Source organism: Homo sapiens, chromosome 17 (assembly GCF_000001405.40).
Source record: "Homo sapiens chromosome 17, GRCh38.p14 Primary Assembly".
NCBI classification, from domain to species: domain Eukaryota; kingdom Metazoa; phylum Chordata; class Mammalia; order Primates; family Hominidae; genus Homo; species Homo sapiens.
The window spans coordinates 11,297,982-11,315,882 of record NC_000017.11 but is presented as its reverse complement, the minus strand read 5'-3'; the positions used below and the strand labels follow the sequence as shown (position 1 = coordinate 11,315,882).

At 43.7% G+C, this 17,901-nt stretch overlaps 1 protein-coding gene and 1 long non-coding RNA gene across 4 annotated transcripts in view; one reads left to right on the top strand and one right to left on the bottom strand.

Annotated features, from left to right (window-relative positions):
• Window positions 1-17,901, bottom strand: part of SHISA6 (shisa family member 6) — a 322,851-nt gene that overhangs the window by 248,181 nt on the left and 56,769 nt on the right. The gene's annotated exons all lie outside the window — the stretch shown is intronic.
• On the top strand, window positions 3,257-7,362 carry LOC124903929 (uncharacterized). Its single transcript, XR_007065623.1, has 2 exons — window positions 3,257-3,352; window positions 7,096-7,362. It is a non-coding gene; the product is annotated as an uncharacterized LOC124903929 (long non-coding RNA).

Here is a 17,901-nt window from a genome sequence, read left to right as displayed (position 1 = left end):
GTCTTGTAATAAATATAAGGGAAATCTCAGAACTCTATGTTTGGCTCTCATACCTAAACCAAACCAAATTTTGATGGGAAAATATCTGAATAAAATGTTGGCAAACAAATTATCAGTGTAGTAATACAATAAAGCATCAAGGCCAAGGTGAATTAATTCTAGGAATGCAGGGAAAGTTCAAGAATGGAAAATCAAAATATGTTATATAATTCATGACATAAAAAAGAAATATCGTATGATCATTCGAAGTGCAGAAAAAGTTATTTTTTAAAAAAATCTTTTTTAAATGTCAATATTGTAATCTGAAAAGTCACTTTTTAGTAAAAAGCCATTTTTTTGTAACCTGTAAAGATTAACTAAGTGATGTGTCCCAGAAGACATTTCTATAAGGGATGCCTGTTACCGCTATATTTCTCTTTTTTTAAAGAGGTCGGAATCAATGTAATAAGAAAAAAAAGAAGAGAAATAAATATTGAAATAGAAGAGGCATAGCTGTCATTCTTTGCAGGTGATACGACAGTTTACTTACAAAATCCAAGGCAGTCAACTGAACCACTATTAAAACTAGGAAGAAAATTCAATAAAGTTACAGAAAAACACAGAAAAATCAATAACTTTCCCCACATACTGGCAAAATCCAATGAAAAATAACTCCATTTATTTAATAAGAAAAATGATAAAATGCCTTGTAATAAACACAAGGGAAGTATCAGAACACTAGGATTAAAAACTGAAAATTTTGCCAAAGGGACAAGAAGGAAAGTCTGAACAACTGAAAAGACATATTTCTGGATATGAAAACTCAAGATGTTTAAAATGTCAATCTGCCCCACATTAAGCTATGAATTCCATTCATGTCCCCTTCTAAAATCTCACTGATTTATTTAAAAATAAAACTTGAACAAACTGATTCTAGAAGTCATAAAGAGAAGTGGATGCACATGAACAACCAGTAATATTTTGTAAAAGAATCTGATGAGGGGTGATTTACACTTCCAGACATCAAAATGGATTATAGAGCTCCAATTGAAAAAACGAGCATGGGCCAGGTGCAGTGGCTCACCCCTGTAGTCTCAGCACTTTGGGAGGCCGAGGCGGGTGGATCACCTGAGGTCAGGAGTTCGAGACCAGCCTGGCCAATATGGTGAAACCCCGTCTCTACTAAAAATAAAAAACAAAATTAGCCAGGCGTGGAGGTGGTCAGCTGTAATCCTAGCTACTTGGGAGGCTGAGGCAGGAGAATTGCTTGAATCCGGGAGACGGAGGTTGCAGTGAGCCGAGACTGTGCCATTGTACTCGAGCCTGGGGAACAAGAGCGGGACTCCATCTCAAAAAAAAAAAAAAACAAAAAAATGAAAAAACAGTATGGAATGACGTAAAAGTACACAGTGAACATGTATATATTCACAAATATATATATAATATATATCTTAGTTTCCTACCTTATTTATAGACCAAAGTAATTTACAGATTCATTTTAAAATCTAAAGTTTTTTCCCCCAATATAGACATTGAAAGAAAAAAACATGCAAGCATATTTTATAAATTTGCAGAGGGGAAGCTCTTCCTAATGTGACAAAAAAATACTCAGCACCAATAAAGGAAAAAATGAACAAACCCAACTTCATGAAAATTTAAAATGTTAATACTTTGAATCATGAAATAGGTTATAATCAACTATGGAAAAATATTTGCAACTTAAATAGTAACCAAAATGTATCTATTTTCTAAAATACTCCTAAAAACCAATAAAGAAACAAGGGCATAGTCTGTCAGTTTGGTCCACAGGGCTGTCAGTAACAGCAGAGCACAGAGTTCAGTTTGAATGGGACTCTCTGAGCTGTTCACTGGGATGATCACAGCACAGTCTCTTTTCACTGACTCCCAGATACCTCTTTTGCCTCTCTATAATCTATTCTATGCACAGTTGTAAAAGATATTAGTATATCTTTATTTTCAATAGCATTACATCATTCTCTACCTAAAAACCTTCAGTGGCCGGCCATCCAACCCTGGTCCTTCTCTCTCTCTCTCTCCGTCTTCATCTTACTCATCTCTCCTCCAGCATCACCAGGCTCTTGACTTGCTGGTCTTCCCTAATCTCCCTGAGTTCTCAGAAAGATTGCAGAGATTGTTGCTGCTGTTTGGAAGGCTTAGCAACACCACCTCAATTTCCCAGTTGTCAGCTCACCCTGTTGACCTGGCTGACTCCTCCATACCCTTCAAATCCCTGCTTAAATGCCGCCTCCCCAGGGAGGGCTTCCCAAAAGGTAACGGTTAAAAGAGATGCCCCTTTTAATTTCTAGTTTAGCTTCCATGTATAGCTCCCACCTTCATAGTTTGCTTCCAATTTGCAATAATTTTGTCTGTCTGATTACTCGTTTCTGGATATCATGTCCCTAGAATACCTTTACTAGAACAGAGAAAAGAATCCATCTTGTTCGCTTTTCTATCCTTAGCAGCTACAGGAATTCACAGTATGTAGAAAGGACTCAAAATGTTGTTGAATTTAAAAAAGAGGGTAGGAAAATAATATGAATAAGCTATTCATAGAAGACATATAAGTGGTATTTAAACACATGAAAAGAAAAGCAAACTAAACAACAGTGAAATACAATTTTTAAAACTCAGATTGGAAAAATAGAAAAATTCTTAACATTCAGGGTTACTGAAGTTATAGAGAGAGGTGCACTACCAGATACTGCATGAGTATATACTAACCCAATAATTTTAGAGGCAATTCAGCTTTTTGAAGTGGTGTGCTAGGATCAGATGGAATTGATTTGAACTGGCTTACACAAGTCTGTAGTTAAATATTTAAGAATATTTTTTAGAGGAGTTGGTAGCTTGAAGTTGCCCATGGTGGGAATTTTTACACCAGGGAAATTGGCAAATGGTACAAATCAAATCGTTGTTTTTGTTTGTTTGTTTGACAGAGTTTATAAGCACATCAACGCCTTTACCTATAAAAAGAAAAAATGGGAGTAATTTTGATCTAGCATTCTATACAAATTTTGCACAAGTGCACAAGGAGAATATATATTGTTTTTAAAAAACGACAACCTAGATGCCTATATGCTCACTGGTAGGGGAATGATTTGATACATTTATTCCATATTATAAAATGACCATTTAAAAAGAATGAAATAGAACTATGGATACTGCCATAGCTTATTCCTGAATAAATAAAGAAATTGGGAGGACATCTATGATATTACTTCATTTTGACAAAACCATATATGCTTATATTGTTTTATATGTGTTTGGACAAGGTCTCTTTGGATGCTTCCTCTTAAAGGTAGTGATCCCTTTGGACAACTAAGGAATCATTGATCTAGGAGTAAAAAAGGAGGTGAGTGGTATATTTTGCTTTTTAGCCTATTCATTTATAGATGAAGTGCGTTTTCAAAGCAACAGATATTATTTTCAGAAAAATACAATCTTAAGTAACTTTTGTATTAAAGAGGTAAACAAATTGACTAATTAAAAACCATAACAAACAGTGAGAATAATACATAGCAAAAATTACAAAATGTGAAAAGGGTTGTTATAAGAAGGAAATTCATAGTTTTTATAATTTAATAATTAAACAAAAACATGATAATAAATTAATTAAGCCCTCAACACAGTATATTAGATAATAAAACTCAGGGAAATGAAGAGAAAAGGATTAATGGATAAAAGTGGCAATTAATACATTTAGAAAACATGTAAGTAATAAATAAGTCCTAAACTTAGTTCAGTGACCAAAAAAAATAAGTAAAGCGTTATAATTTCTGACATATTTTATCAACAAAAGAAAAAATAACAGCTGGGTGTGGTGGCTCACACCTGTAATCTCAGCATTTTGGGAGGCCCAGGCAGGCGAATCATGAGGTCAGGAGTTCGAGACTAACCTGGACAACATGGCAAAACCCCATTTCTACTAAAAATACAAAAATTAGCCAGGCGTGGTGGCACATACCTGTAATCCCAGCTACTCGGGACACTGAGGCAGAAGAATCGCTTGAACCCGGCAGACGGAGTTTGCAGTGAGCCAAGATCGCCCCACTGCACTCCAGCCTGGGCAACAGAGTGAGACTCTGTCTCAAAAAAAAAGAAAAGAAAAGAAAAGAAAAGAAATCTAAATATCTAGCTAGCTATCTCTAGCAATAAGAAAGAAAATATAATTAACAATGGAGAGATTAAAACTCATCAGAGTAGTTATATGAAAATGCCAATAAAATGGGTGTGCTATTTTTTAAAGTATAATTTAAAAAACATAAAACACTGTTGATTATGAAAGAATTTTCCAAATTTGTTCCCCCACAAAAGAGGTTTTGAAGCTTCAAGGAATGCCTTATACTTATGCTGCTAAGGAAAAAAGAGGTAAGCATTCCAATTCATTGGACTAGTATTGTGTTACAACAGATTTGTAATACATTTTCCAATGCATTTTACTAGTATAGCCATGACTCCAAGACCTGCCACATCATATAGTAACAAACAAGAAAATCTCACCTGCATAAATGCAAAGATTCCAAAGAAAATACTTAGTTTCCTGTCCACACAACAGCCAGAGGTGATTTTTTTTGTTTGTCGGTTTTTTTTTTTTTTTTTTTTTGACGAAGTCTTGCTCTGCCTCCCAGGCTAGAGTGCAGTGGTGCGATATTGGCTCACTGCAACCTCTGCCTTCCAGGTTCAGGCGATTCTCCTGCCTCAGCCTCCTGAGTAGCTGGAACTACAGGCGCCTGCCACCACACCCGGCTAATTTTTTTTTTTTTTTTTTTTTTTTTTGAGATGGAGTCTCGCTCAGTCACCCAGGCTGGAGTACAGTGGCGCAATCTCAGCTCACTGCAAGCTCCGCCTCCTGGGTTCACGCCATTCTCCTGCCTTAGCCTCCTGAGTAGCTGGGACTACAGGCACCTGCCACCACACTGGCTAATTTTTTCTATTTTTAGTAGAGACAGGGTTTCACCACGTTAGCCAGGATGGTCTCGATCTCCTGACCTTGTGATGCGCCCACCTAGGCCCCCCAAAGTGCTGGGATTACAGGCGTGAGCCACAGCGCCCAGCCTAATTTTTGTATTTTTAGTAGAGACCAGGTTTCACCATGTCGGTCAGGTTGGTCTCGAACTCCTGACCTTGTGATCTGCCCACCTCGGCCTCCCAAAGTGCTGGGATTATAGGCATGAGCCACCGCGCCCAGCCCAGAGGTGATCTTTTTAAAGCATAAATATGATCTTGTCTGTTCCTTGCCCCTAACCCTCTAAGAGCTTCCCATCTCATTTAGAATAAAGTCCAGAGCTTTCCTCTGGCCCACGAGGTCTTTCATGATGGGCTCTAGTGACCTCATTTCTTCTGTCTCCTCATGCTCCTTCTGTTCCAGCCATTCAGGACTCCTTGATGTTCCTCAAACAACTCAACTGCAGGCCAGTCTCAGGGCATTGCATTCTCTGGCTTTGTCATTCTCGACCACCCTGAGCAGCAATTTTGATCATCTTATATCCCCTAACCTGCATTATTTCCCTTCATACAGTTTGCCATTATGTGAAGTTATACAATGGACTTAGTTGTCTATTGATTGTCAACAGCCTTGGGTTGACAGCAGTATTATGACACATATGTAAACAGATTTTGCTCATTCTGGTAGTCTCAACCCTAAAACAGTGCCTGGCACACAGAGTCATTATGAATTTGAATATTTGTTTACCTCCTCAAGTCAAGACAGTAAGAAAATAGCATGTATAATGGAGACTGTCCATCCCAATCCACTCTCCCCATCTTCTGTGGTATAACTGCAGCCTAACACACATGGCTAGCCAGACACACTCCACTCCCCAGCCTCCCTTGCTGTCAGATGTGGCCATGAGCCTAGGATCTCACCTAAGAAAGGTGATTAAGTACCATGAGCCACTTCTGGGCTGAAGCCTGAAAAGTGCTGGATGTCCTCATGCTGCAGTTCAGCTTTGGCCATGCAGCTGAGGACAATGCCTCAATAAGTGAGTGAATGAATGACCAAATCCCTTTTCTTGACACTTATATTCCAGATTTGAAAATGGGGAAAGGAAATCCAAAATCAAGATAAAGCACAGAAATCTCTCTGTACAGGAAGAACCTTAAAAGAGAAACAAGCACTTTTTCTAAAGTGAGCTGCCAAAGTTATCACACAAAGCCGGGGCAAAGCAAATGCTTGCATAGGGAACATCTATTCACTTGATTTAATAAAGAGCTAAAGTTATTGACAAACCACTCTGTAAATTATTGATGATGCCTTAGAGTATGGCCACTGCACAGAATTCAGTTATCACCCACAAGAGGGTAAAAATCTAACATCAGAAGTTAAAACATCAAAGCATCAGAAAGTAAGAGAACAAAAAAGGAAAAGCAGGGAATGGCCCAATCCAGGTTCTCAGGTTATCTTCCTGCTTCCAAAAGAAGAAACACAACAGATTGGTCACTGATAAGATGGATCTCCTACAGAATAGATACAGGTTCCACATGAGAAACAATCATATTCATCGACTGAAATTATTACAGAAAACAAGCTGCAATTAGGCCCAACTAGTAACTTATTCTCCCTAAATGATGAAGGCCAGTTCTGTATAACTTCTGCCAGCAAACACTTGCTTCATGTGGAGTGGGGCGTGTTGGCTTGAGCCTGTAATTCCAGCTACTTGGGAGGCTGAGGCAGAAGGATCCTTGGAGTCTAGGAGTTCAAGACCAGCCTGGGCAGCATAGCAAGACCCCATCTCTAAAATCATTTTTTAAATTGGCTAAGCATGGTGGCATGCACTTGTAGTCCCAGCTACTCGGGAGGCTGAGGGAGGAGGATTGCTTGAGCCTAGGAGTTTGGGGCTGCAGTGAGCTATAATGGTGCCACTGCATTCCAGCCTGGGTGACAGAGCAAGACCCTGTCTCAAAAAAAATTTAAAAAGCCACGTGGATGATTCGTGCTCCACTGGCAGTGCCCAATCTTTGGAAGTTTAGTATCTGGTGAAAGTATGAAACTGAGAGCCTACAGGTTTACCGAACTAATTTGCCACTGTGCCTTCCAGTCTGACTCTGAAAGGTTGCCTGTTCTTCCCTTTACATAACAAAGCATTTTCTTTACAGCTGTTGCCTGCATCGCAGCCACCGAGCATGGAGAGATTCCCCTGTGGATACTTACCCAACAGAACTCAAGTATTGGTTGCAGCCTGAGCCCTGGGCAAAGATCAGCTGTGAGATCGCAGAGTTTCTTTATTAAAGAACAAATCATGCTGGACAAACTTGATTGCTTTTTGGATCAGCTTGTGAAATGAGGAGGGCTTAGCGAACGTAGCCGATCACAGTATCTGGGGTGTTTAGTGAGTTATTTAATAAAGCACTCTGGAAATTGTACTGGGAAGTCTGAGATACTGTGGCCTTTGGTAGAGGGGAAAAGAGAAAGCTCCGTTGGTATCCTTGGATGCAGAAGGGAGAAAACCACGCTCCTGCCATTTCCAGGAGGTTAATTTGCTGCATTCCTGTGCACATATGAGGTTAGGAGGAAGGGTTGGGCAGAGGCAGATGTTTGTGTGTTTAGGGAGCTGGGATCACCCTGATGGAATTCTGGCAGTTTGCTTCTTTAGCTGTGCCTTCTCCACCCTGGCATTTCTGCCTGTTACATGGCCATCTTCCTGAACAGAAATTGTGAAAAAGCCAAAACACTAAGGAAATTCAGGGCAGATGGTTCGTCCCTCTGGACTGCAGGTTTCTCACCTATAAAATCAGAGATTGGGCCAGCATTTCTAAAGGCCCCCTAACCCTGCCCTTCCATGATAGATTTTGGTGACCTGGGCATCAACCTCCCTAGTGCCCACTTCCTTACCCCACCAAAGTCAGACCATCAGGACAACAGCTCAGACACCAAACTCCGCTGTATTATTTGGAGGCACCGGAAGAAACTGCCTTTTTTCTAGTACACTCCTTTCATTTGCTTGTTGATACTAAACACTTCTTAGTTATTCTACCTTCAACATTCTCATCTGTAAAATGAAAGGCTGGGCTGGCATTTCTAAGGGTCCTCCAATCCTATCTATGTAACAATTTTCGTTATTCAATATCCCTTTACTCACATTATTTTTCTCCATAGCATGTACCATTATGTGAAGTTATACTATGAATTGGAATATTTGTTTACCTCAAGTCAAGGTAAACTTCATGAGAGCATAGACTTTATGCAAACAGCATGAATGATGCACACTGCTCAATGTCCATCCCAATCCATTCTCCCCGTCTTCCATGGTAGGAGAACAATAACCTGACACACAGGTGGCCAGACACACACTCCATTCCCCAGCCTCCCTTGCTGTTAGGTGTGGCTATGTGCCTATGAGCTCAACTAAGAAAGATGAATAAGAGTACTGTGAGCCACGTCTGGGCTGAAAGCTGAGAGATGATGGACCTGCTTCCTTCCTCTTGCTTTCCTCTTCCGATAAGCTGGAGAATTGACACTGGAACCCAGCTTTGGCTATGCAGACACGGACAATGACTTAATGAAGGCAGGCGAACAATATGGAAGAAACCTAGCTCCCCAAGCTAATGCATGGAGCAGAGCTCATTGTCAACCTGAAACTCAGATAGTTGTGTAAGCAACAGTTATCTCAATAGAGCCACTGCATTTGGAGATCTCTTGAGTAGAGCAACTTAGACTCTAACTGGTACAGACAACAGAGTACTAAATATATCCCTAAAACTTAAAGTATAATAAAAAAAAAAGAAAAAAAGAAAAAAAAAGAAAACAAACAAACAAAAATAAATAAATAAATATATGGCACTGTCTTAAAGGTTATTTTGCAAAGAGATATAGAAGAAATAAAATTTTTCCACTGGGGGGTTGCGAGAAACAGGGCTTGAAATGCCATCTGCTTCCATATTCTGAACATCAGGAGATACACTGCTTTCTTCAAAGCCTTCTTTCAGAGGCATCTTTTAGGCAAAGATCAACTTAAGGATGTTGCCTTCCCTTTCCACCAACTCCTACGGCTGGTTTTGGATGGGACAAGTCACCATGGAAATAAAGGAGATGGGGATAGGTCAAAGAAGCAAAGGATAAAGCAGATTTAAGAGCGATGTCTAGGAAAGAATACTAAGTGCAGTTGCTGGAACATGGAACTGACAGGAAGCAAGTAGACCAGAAGCCTATTAAGTCATCTGTGGGAATTTATTGCCAAAGAAGGACTGGACTGGGCCTGAAAAAACCTGTGACTGTTCTGTGCCTAAAGCCACCACAGCCCTTATCACATCCAAAAAATAAGCAAGTAACGAAGTTTTCAGACTCCAAAGGGCGGGCTCACCAATGCCCACTCAGGTGCAGTCACAGAGGACACAAACGAAGACCCCAAGGATGAATACAGTGGACACAGTATATCATGGCCATAAACAAGGGCATGCTTCCCAGAGAGCGGAACCAGGGTCTCAATCAGAAACCTCCTCCACTCTCAAGGCAATTTCTACCCAGCAGAAGCCCATCATTGCTGTGGCCCAGCTCTGTGGCCCTCCTTCTCTTTTCTCAATGGAAACTGTTCTTGTGAATTGTTCGGCTCTGCTCCACCATTGCATCCTGTATGGGGAGGTCTTGGGGAGATGGATGAAGGCTTGTGGTGGGGGAAGGCTGAGATCACTTACTTTCCTTTTTCAACCTCTGGATCGGGAATCCAGACCTCATGAGAGGAGAATTGCTTAAGATCCAGGGATCCTGAACTCAGACCTAGGTAAGATCAACCTAATTAGTGGTATATGGTTTGCAGTGAATAAGCAACAATTTATAAAACACTTAGTACACTGTCAGCATTCAGTAAAATGAGCTATTTTTTCAGGTCTTCATAGCTGATGAGGTTTGGTGGGGTTGTTTGCTTTGGGGCACGGTGGCAGATGTCCTGTTTGTAAGAAGAAGGGTACGCACAGGCATCTGGTGTTCAGAGGCGCTGACTATGACAGTGAAGACCACTAACTGCCCACAAATAATGCCTTCTCCCTTTCTCTGTGGTAATAAAATCAGAGCCTGGCCATCAGCTGGACAGTCCACCCCATCTCCCAGCCTCCCTAGCTGTTGGCCTCCGCTCCGAGACATAAGCAGACGTGATGGTGCTACACGCAGGTGGAGGCTCGGGGCAGGGTGGGCCTGTCTCCTCCACTCTCTGTCATGCCCTGAGGGCTGAGCACAGACTGTTGTGGTCCAGCTTGGACCACAAAGAAAATGTTCCGGGTTCTGGGCCTAGGGAATGGCAGAGCCACCCGCAACACCAAACTCAAAGACTGTTACAAAAGAGAGAAACTTCCGATTTCTTGATGCATGTTTGAATCTCTGTCACAGCAGTTGAGTGTGTCATCCCAAGCGGGCTTCATCAGTCAATCCAGCCTGCTGTGCAGCAGTCTGTGAGGCGACACAGACAATGCAACCTGAACTCGGGCCCTTCTCCCGCCATTTCAGGGGCTCTCCAGGACACGTTGCAATTTGTTTCCATTAGCTTTGCTCCCCCTCTTCCTGTGCATTGCTTATTGATCTCAGAAATTTATTTAAATTCATTGAATCTTGGTTTTCTTACTTGTTGACTATAAAGATGACTTCATGGTTAAAAGGGTTGTACAAAGATCCATGAAGTAGCTAGTTTTATGGAATGCTGACAATGTCCTAGGTGCTTCATGAATGCTTGCTTATTCAGTGTAAACAGTATACCCCTAATGAGTTGATCTTAGGAGCCCTGCTTTTTGTAAGAGGAAAAGGAGGCACAAAAGTTGTTCCAGAACTCGCCCAAGGGCACACCACCAGCAGGTGCTATGCTTCACCAGGGATGAGATGTGACGCATGAAGAAGTGCCTCAAAAGCCCCAACACCACAGGTCAATGTGACATCTAGTCTTGTAACTGTGGAAGGACTCTTTGAACCACATAAAAATCGGAACAACAAAGCTGTGCATCGAAACATGCGGTCTGAGGAACTATCACAGCACTGCTTCTGCTTCTCTTTGGTCCTCTTTGACCAACCAGCCACCCAGAAGCCCAGCAGGAAGAGGTCTCTTACAAGTGGCCAAGCGCAGTGAGACCTGCCTGGCACCGAGCCCTCATCCCCAGCTCCTACCGGGAACAGTTCTGGCAAGTCTCAGGGCTGAGTTTCCCTACACTCCGGCTTGAAGTGTCCCTGGAAAGTTCCCAGAGTTATTTTGGGATCTTCTCTCTTCTCCTCCACACCTCACTGGCACTCCTTCCTTGGCATCATCACTGAAGCATAGCCCTAAAGGGTGCTGTGGTCCCCACTCATCTCGTCTTCTGATGCCTCCCCAACCTGTGCCCACTCCTCACTTCCTCTCCAATCAGCTCAAAATGCTGCTGGCAAAATACCCTTTCTCCTACCTCCCAGCACCCACCCGCCCTTTGCTTCTCTCTGCTGGCTTCTCCCCATTGCATCCCAGTACCAGGCATCCCAGGCATCATTCCTCCCCACCTCACAGAGCAAGGCTCAAGCAGGGGCCGTCATCTTTTGACTGCAGGTGTTGAGATCAAAGCTGTAGGAGGAAAAGGTAGATCTTGAGCCTAGGACGTGAGATGCTGTGTGATCATCCTCCCTCTGCTCGTGAAGCTCACATCTTCCTGTTCGCACCACTTCACACTGCCACCCGGCCACCTCCCCAGTGCCTTCGTCCAACTCCAGGCACTGACCCCTCCAGGGCCCCTCTCACTGGAGCAGGGCAGCTCCCCTAGAGCAAAGGGGCCTCTTGGCCAGTCAGGCCCTCGTTACCCACTGGGGACCCTATCGCTCACCAGGAAAGGTGCAAACTACCCAAAGCTTCCCAGGAAAGGGCTTCTATCCTAGAAGGCCTTCCTGATATGGCCTTCTGCTCCATTCGTCTGTGCAGAAACAGTGAGGCCTGGGGATCCTCACATCTGCTCCTGGATATGGAGCCGGTCAGGCCCTGCAGCTTTTGGCACGCTGGAAACATGGCCTCTTCTCGGGCACCTGCCCTTCCACTGCTGTACCCACCTCAGGCCCACCCTAGAAACACAACTGGAGGAAACACAGAAGCAGGGATGGCATGTCCCCATCCCCACATTTACCCCCAACTCAGCACACTCCTCTGAGGAGTCATCCTTACAACGAGCTTTTATTATGACCTTTTGTGCTGCAGGTATTGAGGGCAGAGAAGGGTCTTTGAGTGACACGCATGGCCAACTGGGACTGGGGGCTTGAGAGCACCAGGCCTGATGGCTCCCTTGTCCTCTGTATGCTGGAGATGGCTCCCCAGGCTCAGCCTTCTGCATGTGGCCTTTTTCTGTGTGGCTCTCCTACAGGTAAAAAATCCCGTCACCTCATGGCAGCATCAGAGAAGATCACACTCTCACATACACACAACCACACAATCACACACTCAACCATGCTCACAGTCACACACAAGTGATCACATATATTCACACACAACCACACATACAGCCATACAACTGCACACAAAACCACACACACATGCTCACAACCAGACACAATCACACACACAACCACACTCAGAATCATGCACAAAACACCACACACAACCATACTCACGACCACACATAACCAATCACATACATTCACAACTATACACACAACCATACAACTGCACATAAAACCACACACATACTCACAACCACAATCACACAACCACACTCACAATCACACTGAATCTTACACACACACACACACAAAACCACACAAGCACACACACTCAAACATAACTACACTGGTAATCACACACAAAATCACACACTGATACGTACACACACACAGGTAATCACAATTGTGTATGTATCACACAATCATACAAGCACATAGGCTGCTCACTGCACTGCACTGCACTGGGTTGGGGGCGTCATCACACTACTCAGTCAGACGTCTTTCTTTCCCAGGAGCCCTCCACACCCCATGCTACAGCCCAGCTTGATGGGAAATGACAAAGCCATCAGCCTTCAATGAAACTCCAGCAGAACCTGCAGGAAGTCTGTTTCATCTAGAAACCTCTCATTTCAAACGCCCCCCTCCTCTCCACCTGGATGACTCTCTGCTTTTTCCCCCACCCCCATATTGTTTCTATAGCAACCTCGGTCCCTGGGTAGGGCTGTTGCTGAGAGCTGCAACCCTTCGGGTCTGCCCTCTTGGCCCTATATGTGAAATGGTTGGATCACAAATCATCTTCCTGCTAGGACCTAAGCAGGACTTCCAATGTTGGAAGCAAAAGACGGCTTGGACTGGTCCAGATGTTCCAGAGGCCACCAATGCACTCAGGCTATTTCCTCAACATCTGCTTCTCTCCCTCTCTCTCTTGCTTTTCAAAAGCTTAGGCCTGGCAAGGAAATGCTTGCCTGTTTCTGGCACGTTCATGTACCAGATGTACCATCCCCTTATTGCAATAAAATACAGGCAGATGCATAGGTGACCACGTAAAAAATGAGCTGAGAAAAGATCTGGATGTCCTGGGACCTGGATTCTGGACACAGGTCAGCCACTTTCTGGCTGCTGGACCTAAGAGCAAATTCCTCATGTGCAGAATAAGAACTTTATACTGGACAAACTTAGGAGGTTCCTTCCAGCATAACATTTTGTGGTCTATTTCACTCTCTACAACTCCTCAAATTTTGCTGTCAGGAAACTGAGCCTGACAAAATTTGAATTCTTTCAGAAAACTCCAACAGAGGCCTAAAGTTAAGCTCTAGGCCTGATATGGTTTGGCTGTGCCCCCACCCAAATCTCAATTTGAATTGTGTCTCCAAGAATTCCCATGTGTTGTGGGAGGGGCCCGGAGGGGAGGTAACTGAATCATGGGGGCCGGTCTTTCCTGTGCTATTCTCATAATAGTGAATAAGTCTCACAAGATCTGGTGGGTTTATCAGGGGTTTCCGTTTTTGCTTTTTCCTCATTTTCTCTTGCCGCCGCCATGTAAGAAGTGCCTTTTGCCTCCCACCATGATTCTGAGGCCTTCCCAGCCATGTGGAACTGTAAGTCCAACTGAACCTCTTTCTCTTCCCAGTCTCTGGTATGTCTTTATCAGCAGTATGAAAACGGACGAATACAAGGCTCCTAAAGCCAAAACCATGCAAAGGGAGAGGACCCCTACAGCTGGCAGTTTCCCCTTATGAGAAATCTCTCCTTGAAGGAGTCACACCTGCATTCCCATCCTTTCTACCGGCATGACATTGACTTGGGGATCCACAAGGACACACCTAGATTGCAGGAACGTTCATAGGAAATGCAGTAAGAGTGGGAAGTTTTCTGGAAGCTGCCTCTGGCTGGAGGAGGCAGGAAGGAGGGGAACGGCAAGGAGGTTGACTGAAGGACGCCTGGAAGAGAAAGACTCATTCATGCACGGTGTGACCAGAGTGGGGAAAGCCTTTATCACAGTTCTCTGGTCAGCACCTTTGCAAAGGAGTGAATTTAGGAAGATACTGACCCAAAGTGCTGCAATCATTTGGACTAGAGCTCATTAGGCCCTAGCAAAGCCCGGAGCCCCCAAAGAAGTGGAAAATTAGAAAGACAAATAAAGGTCAATGTACCATCCCCTTATTGCAATGGAATTATTTACCCACCTGGGGAATTTGATGCCTGGAGAATGTGTAATTAATGGTCCTGGGGGCTGCAACGCACCCAGGAGATAAACAGTGCAACTTCAACTTGAGGGTCCAATGCTCCCCACCCCAGTACCCACCACTACATCATAGGCTGTTAGGGAGGAAGAAAACTAGTGAGGGTTCCAGCTGCATTAAAGGGGTCTGCTACCGGGCTCAGCACAGGCAGAGAGGCTCTGACAGCTAGACGTGGAAGGCCCACAGTGAAGCTGAGCACGGGACTCCACGCAGCTGTACTGGAGAAGTTCTTTTGCTTCAGGCCTTGCAAAAAAACTCTTTAAACGTGTTTCCCTTGACTGGTATTAAAGGCTGTTTGTTTTCTCTTCTGTGTGAACATGTTGTGATTTTCTCTCCCCCCACCCCATACAGGGCTGAACAATTACAGTATGTTCTTGAAGCACAAGCAGATGGGGCGGGAGGGTGGGGCTGTGTTCCCCCATGTGCTCCACCTCCCTTCCCTACCACCCAAACTGAAATTATCAACTAGCATTTCACAAAGAGCCAGGTTCCTGGCCAGTATGCCGGGGAATTGAAATAAGAAGCCTGTTTTTCCTAGAGCCATCTCTTATGAAGGGGTAATATTTAAACCCACAGTCACTGAATTACAAAAAAAAAAAAAAAGAAAAAGAAAAAAAAGTCCTAAACTGGCAAAAAGGGAATTCTCTCCCAAGAAGGGCACACAGGCTTGCCACAACTCACTCTCTAAAAGCTCACTGGTGCCACGGGTGTCTTGGATGTGACACCCAGATGAAAACTTAGAGATCAAAACTGAAAATGGCCCACAGGCTTCATCGTGCCTGACAGTTCGGGTCAACTGACAGGGCTGCCTGGAAAACAGTGTTGAGAAGGATTCTAAGATGCACTCGGATTCTGAAGGAAAGAGGGCTGCAGTCAGTTGCCAGTGCTCCATGGACACGAAGAGAAGGGCAGTGGCTTGCATGCCCCATGTTTGCCCATCCTAAGTCAGTACGGCACAGTGGTGCCCAGGGCCCAGGTCTACACTGGTTGGGAACTCATGCTTCGGGTATTGTGGTAAACAGAAAAATGCCTCCCAAAGATATCCACATCCCAGTCCTTAAACCTGTGAAGGTGTTGCCTTTCTTTTTTTCTTTTTTCTTGTTTTTCTTTTTTTTTTTTTTTTGTTTTAAGATGGAGTCTTGCTCTGTCGCACAAGCTGGAGTGCAGTGGCGTGATCTCAGCTCACTGCAACCTCCACCTCCCAGGTTCAAGCGATTCTCCTGCCTCAGCCTCCCAAGTAGCTGGGACTACAGGCACATGCCACCACGCCCAGCTAATATTTTGTATTTTTAGTAGAGATAGGGTTTCACTGTGTTAGCCAGGATGGTCTTGATCTCCTTACCTCGTGATCTGCCCACCTCAGCCTCCCAAAGTGCTGAGATTACAGACGTGAGCCACCGCACCTGACCTGAAGGTGTTGCTTTTCATGGCAAAAGGAACCTTGCAAGTGGGATCAAGTTAAGGTTCTTGAGATGAGGAGACCACCCTGGATTGTGTGGGTAGGCCCACACGGGATCCTTATAAGTGGACACAGGTTGGTCAGAGTCAGAGAGAGAAGGTGATGGGATGGGGAAAACAGAGATTGGAGTGATGCACTTTGAAGATGCAGGAAAGGACCGTAAGCCAATGAATGCATATGGCCTCTAGAAGCTGGAACAGGCAAGGAAATCGATTCTCCCCTAGAGCCTCCAGAAGGAACCAGCCCTAACATATCTTGACTTCAGCCCAGTGAAAGCTATTTTGGACTTCTGGCCCAGAAATGTAAAAGAATAAATGTGTGTTGTTTTAATCACAGGGAATAAATTTGTGTTGTTTAAATCTGCGGTAATTTGTTTTAGCAGTTAATAGGAAATGAATACAGCATGTTACTTATTCTCTGTGTCTCAGTTCCTGCATTGAAAAAAAAAACACCAGAAATAGTAATATCTACCTCTGATGGAGCTTTCAGGACAATTAAATGTAATATAATGTATGTAAATCACTTAGAATAGCATCTGGCACCCAGTAATTCTCAATAAATATTAGCTATGATTATTCCGATCCAACTGCTTTATTTTATGGGGGAGAACATTAAAATCCAGACAGAGAATAGAATGTACTAGAGGTCACAATGACACAATGAAGAAATGTGGTCCATCCTAATGCTTTATTACTGAAGAGTAGCTCTTTTATTTGTGAAAGGGACATGGGAGCTACAGAAGATTCAACCATTCTTGGTCATGGAAGGAAAGGGGATGTATTTTCGCCATGACTTTTAGTGGCAAAAACTGCAGTTACTTTTGCATCAACCTAATAGACTAGACCCAAAGCACATTCAGCAGCTGACTCTGATTTTCTACCATCCCTGAACAAATCTACCTCTAACATCAGTCCACCCTCAGAGAGCCACCTTGAGTAGCTGCAAAAGCTAGGCTCCTCACTCTCCCTTTAACCCAGCGATGAGGTCTGCCTCCTTGAGCTAGCTGCTGACAGTGAACTTGGAACATGGTTTGGCCACTGGGAGTCATTTGTTAGTGTTCTTGGTTCTCACTGTGCCTTCCCTCAGCCATCCACTCCAGACTCCTATGTTGGGTCTTACGTTACCAGAATCTGTACTGCTTTCAGAATCATCATGGCAAACACCCCACTGCAACACTGCCTAGCACATTCCCCAGCTGCCATGGCACTGACCCCACTGCTTTCTCACTGGCCATCACACCCTCCTTGTCATCACCTGTTGCCTGCTGGCCCAGCCTGAGTTCAGTAGTCTATCATGATAATATCTGCATGTCCAACAGGCTCCAGGCTCTAGCTGTGTTTCTCTTTGGTATACTCACCTGGAACACCCTAAACTACCATCTTCTCCTCACTTGCACTCAGCAGCTGAACCTTCCCAGAACTGTATGAGTGAGCTTATTGGTTTCACATTAAACTCACGAGCACAAATCTCCACTGGGCACTCAGTCTGGCCAGGCAGCCTCTCTTATTGTGTGTCCCACTCTTGAAGTGGTTGATCTCATATTTCTGGTTCCAGGCTAGAGGCAGTAGGCACAGAAGTAAAGTACATAGATGCTGGAATGAAGACGCTCAGGTTCAAGTCCAAGCTCTACCACTTACTAGCTGTGGGATCTTTATCAAGGAACTAACTTTCTTGGCTTCAGCTTCCTCATCTGTTCTTCAAAATATTACATAAATTAATTCATAGATGTAAAGGTTTTAGAGCAGAGATTGGCATAACATAAGCACACCATAACTAGAAACAATTATGATGATCTTTTCAACTCTTTGGCTTTCCATCCTCAACCTCTAATA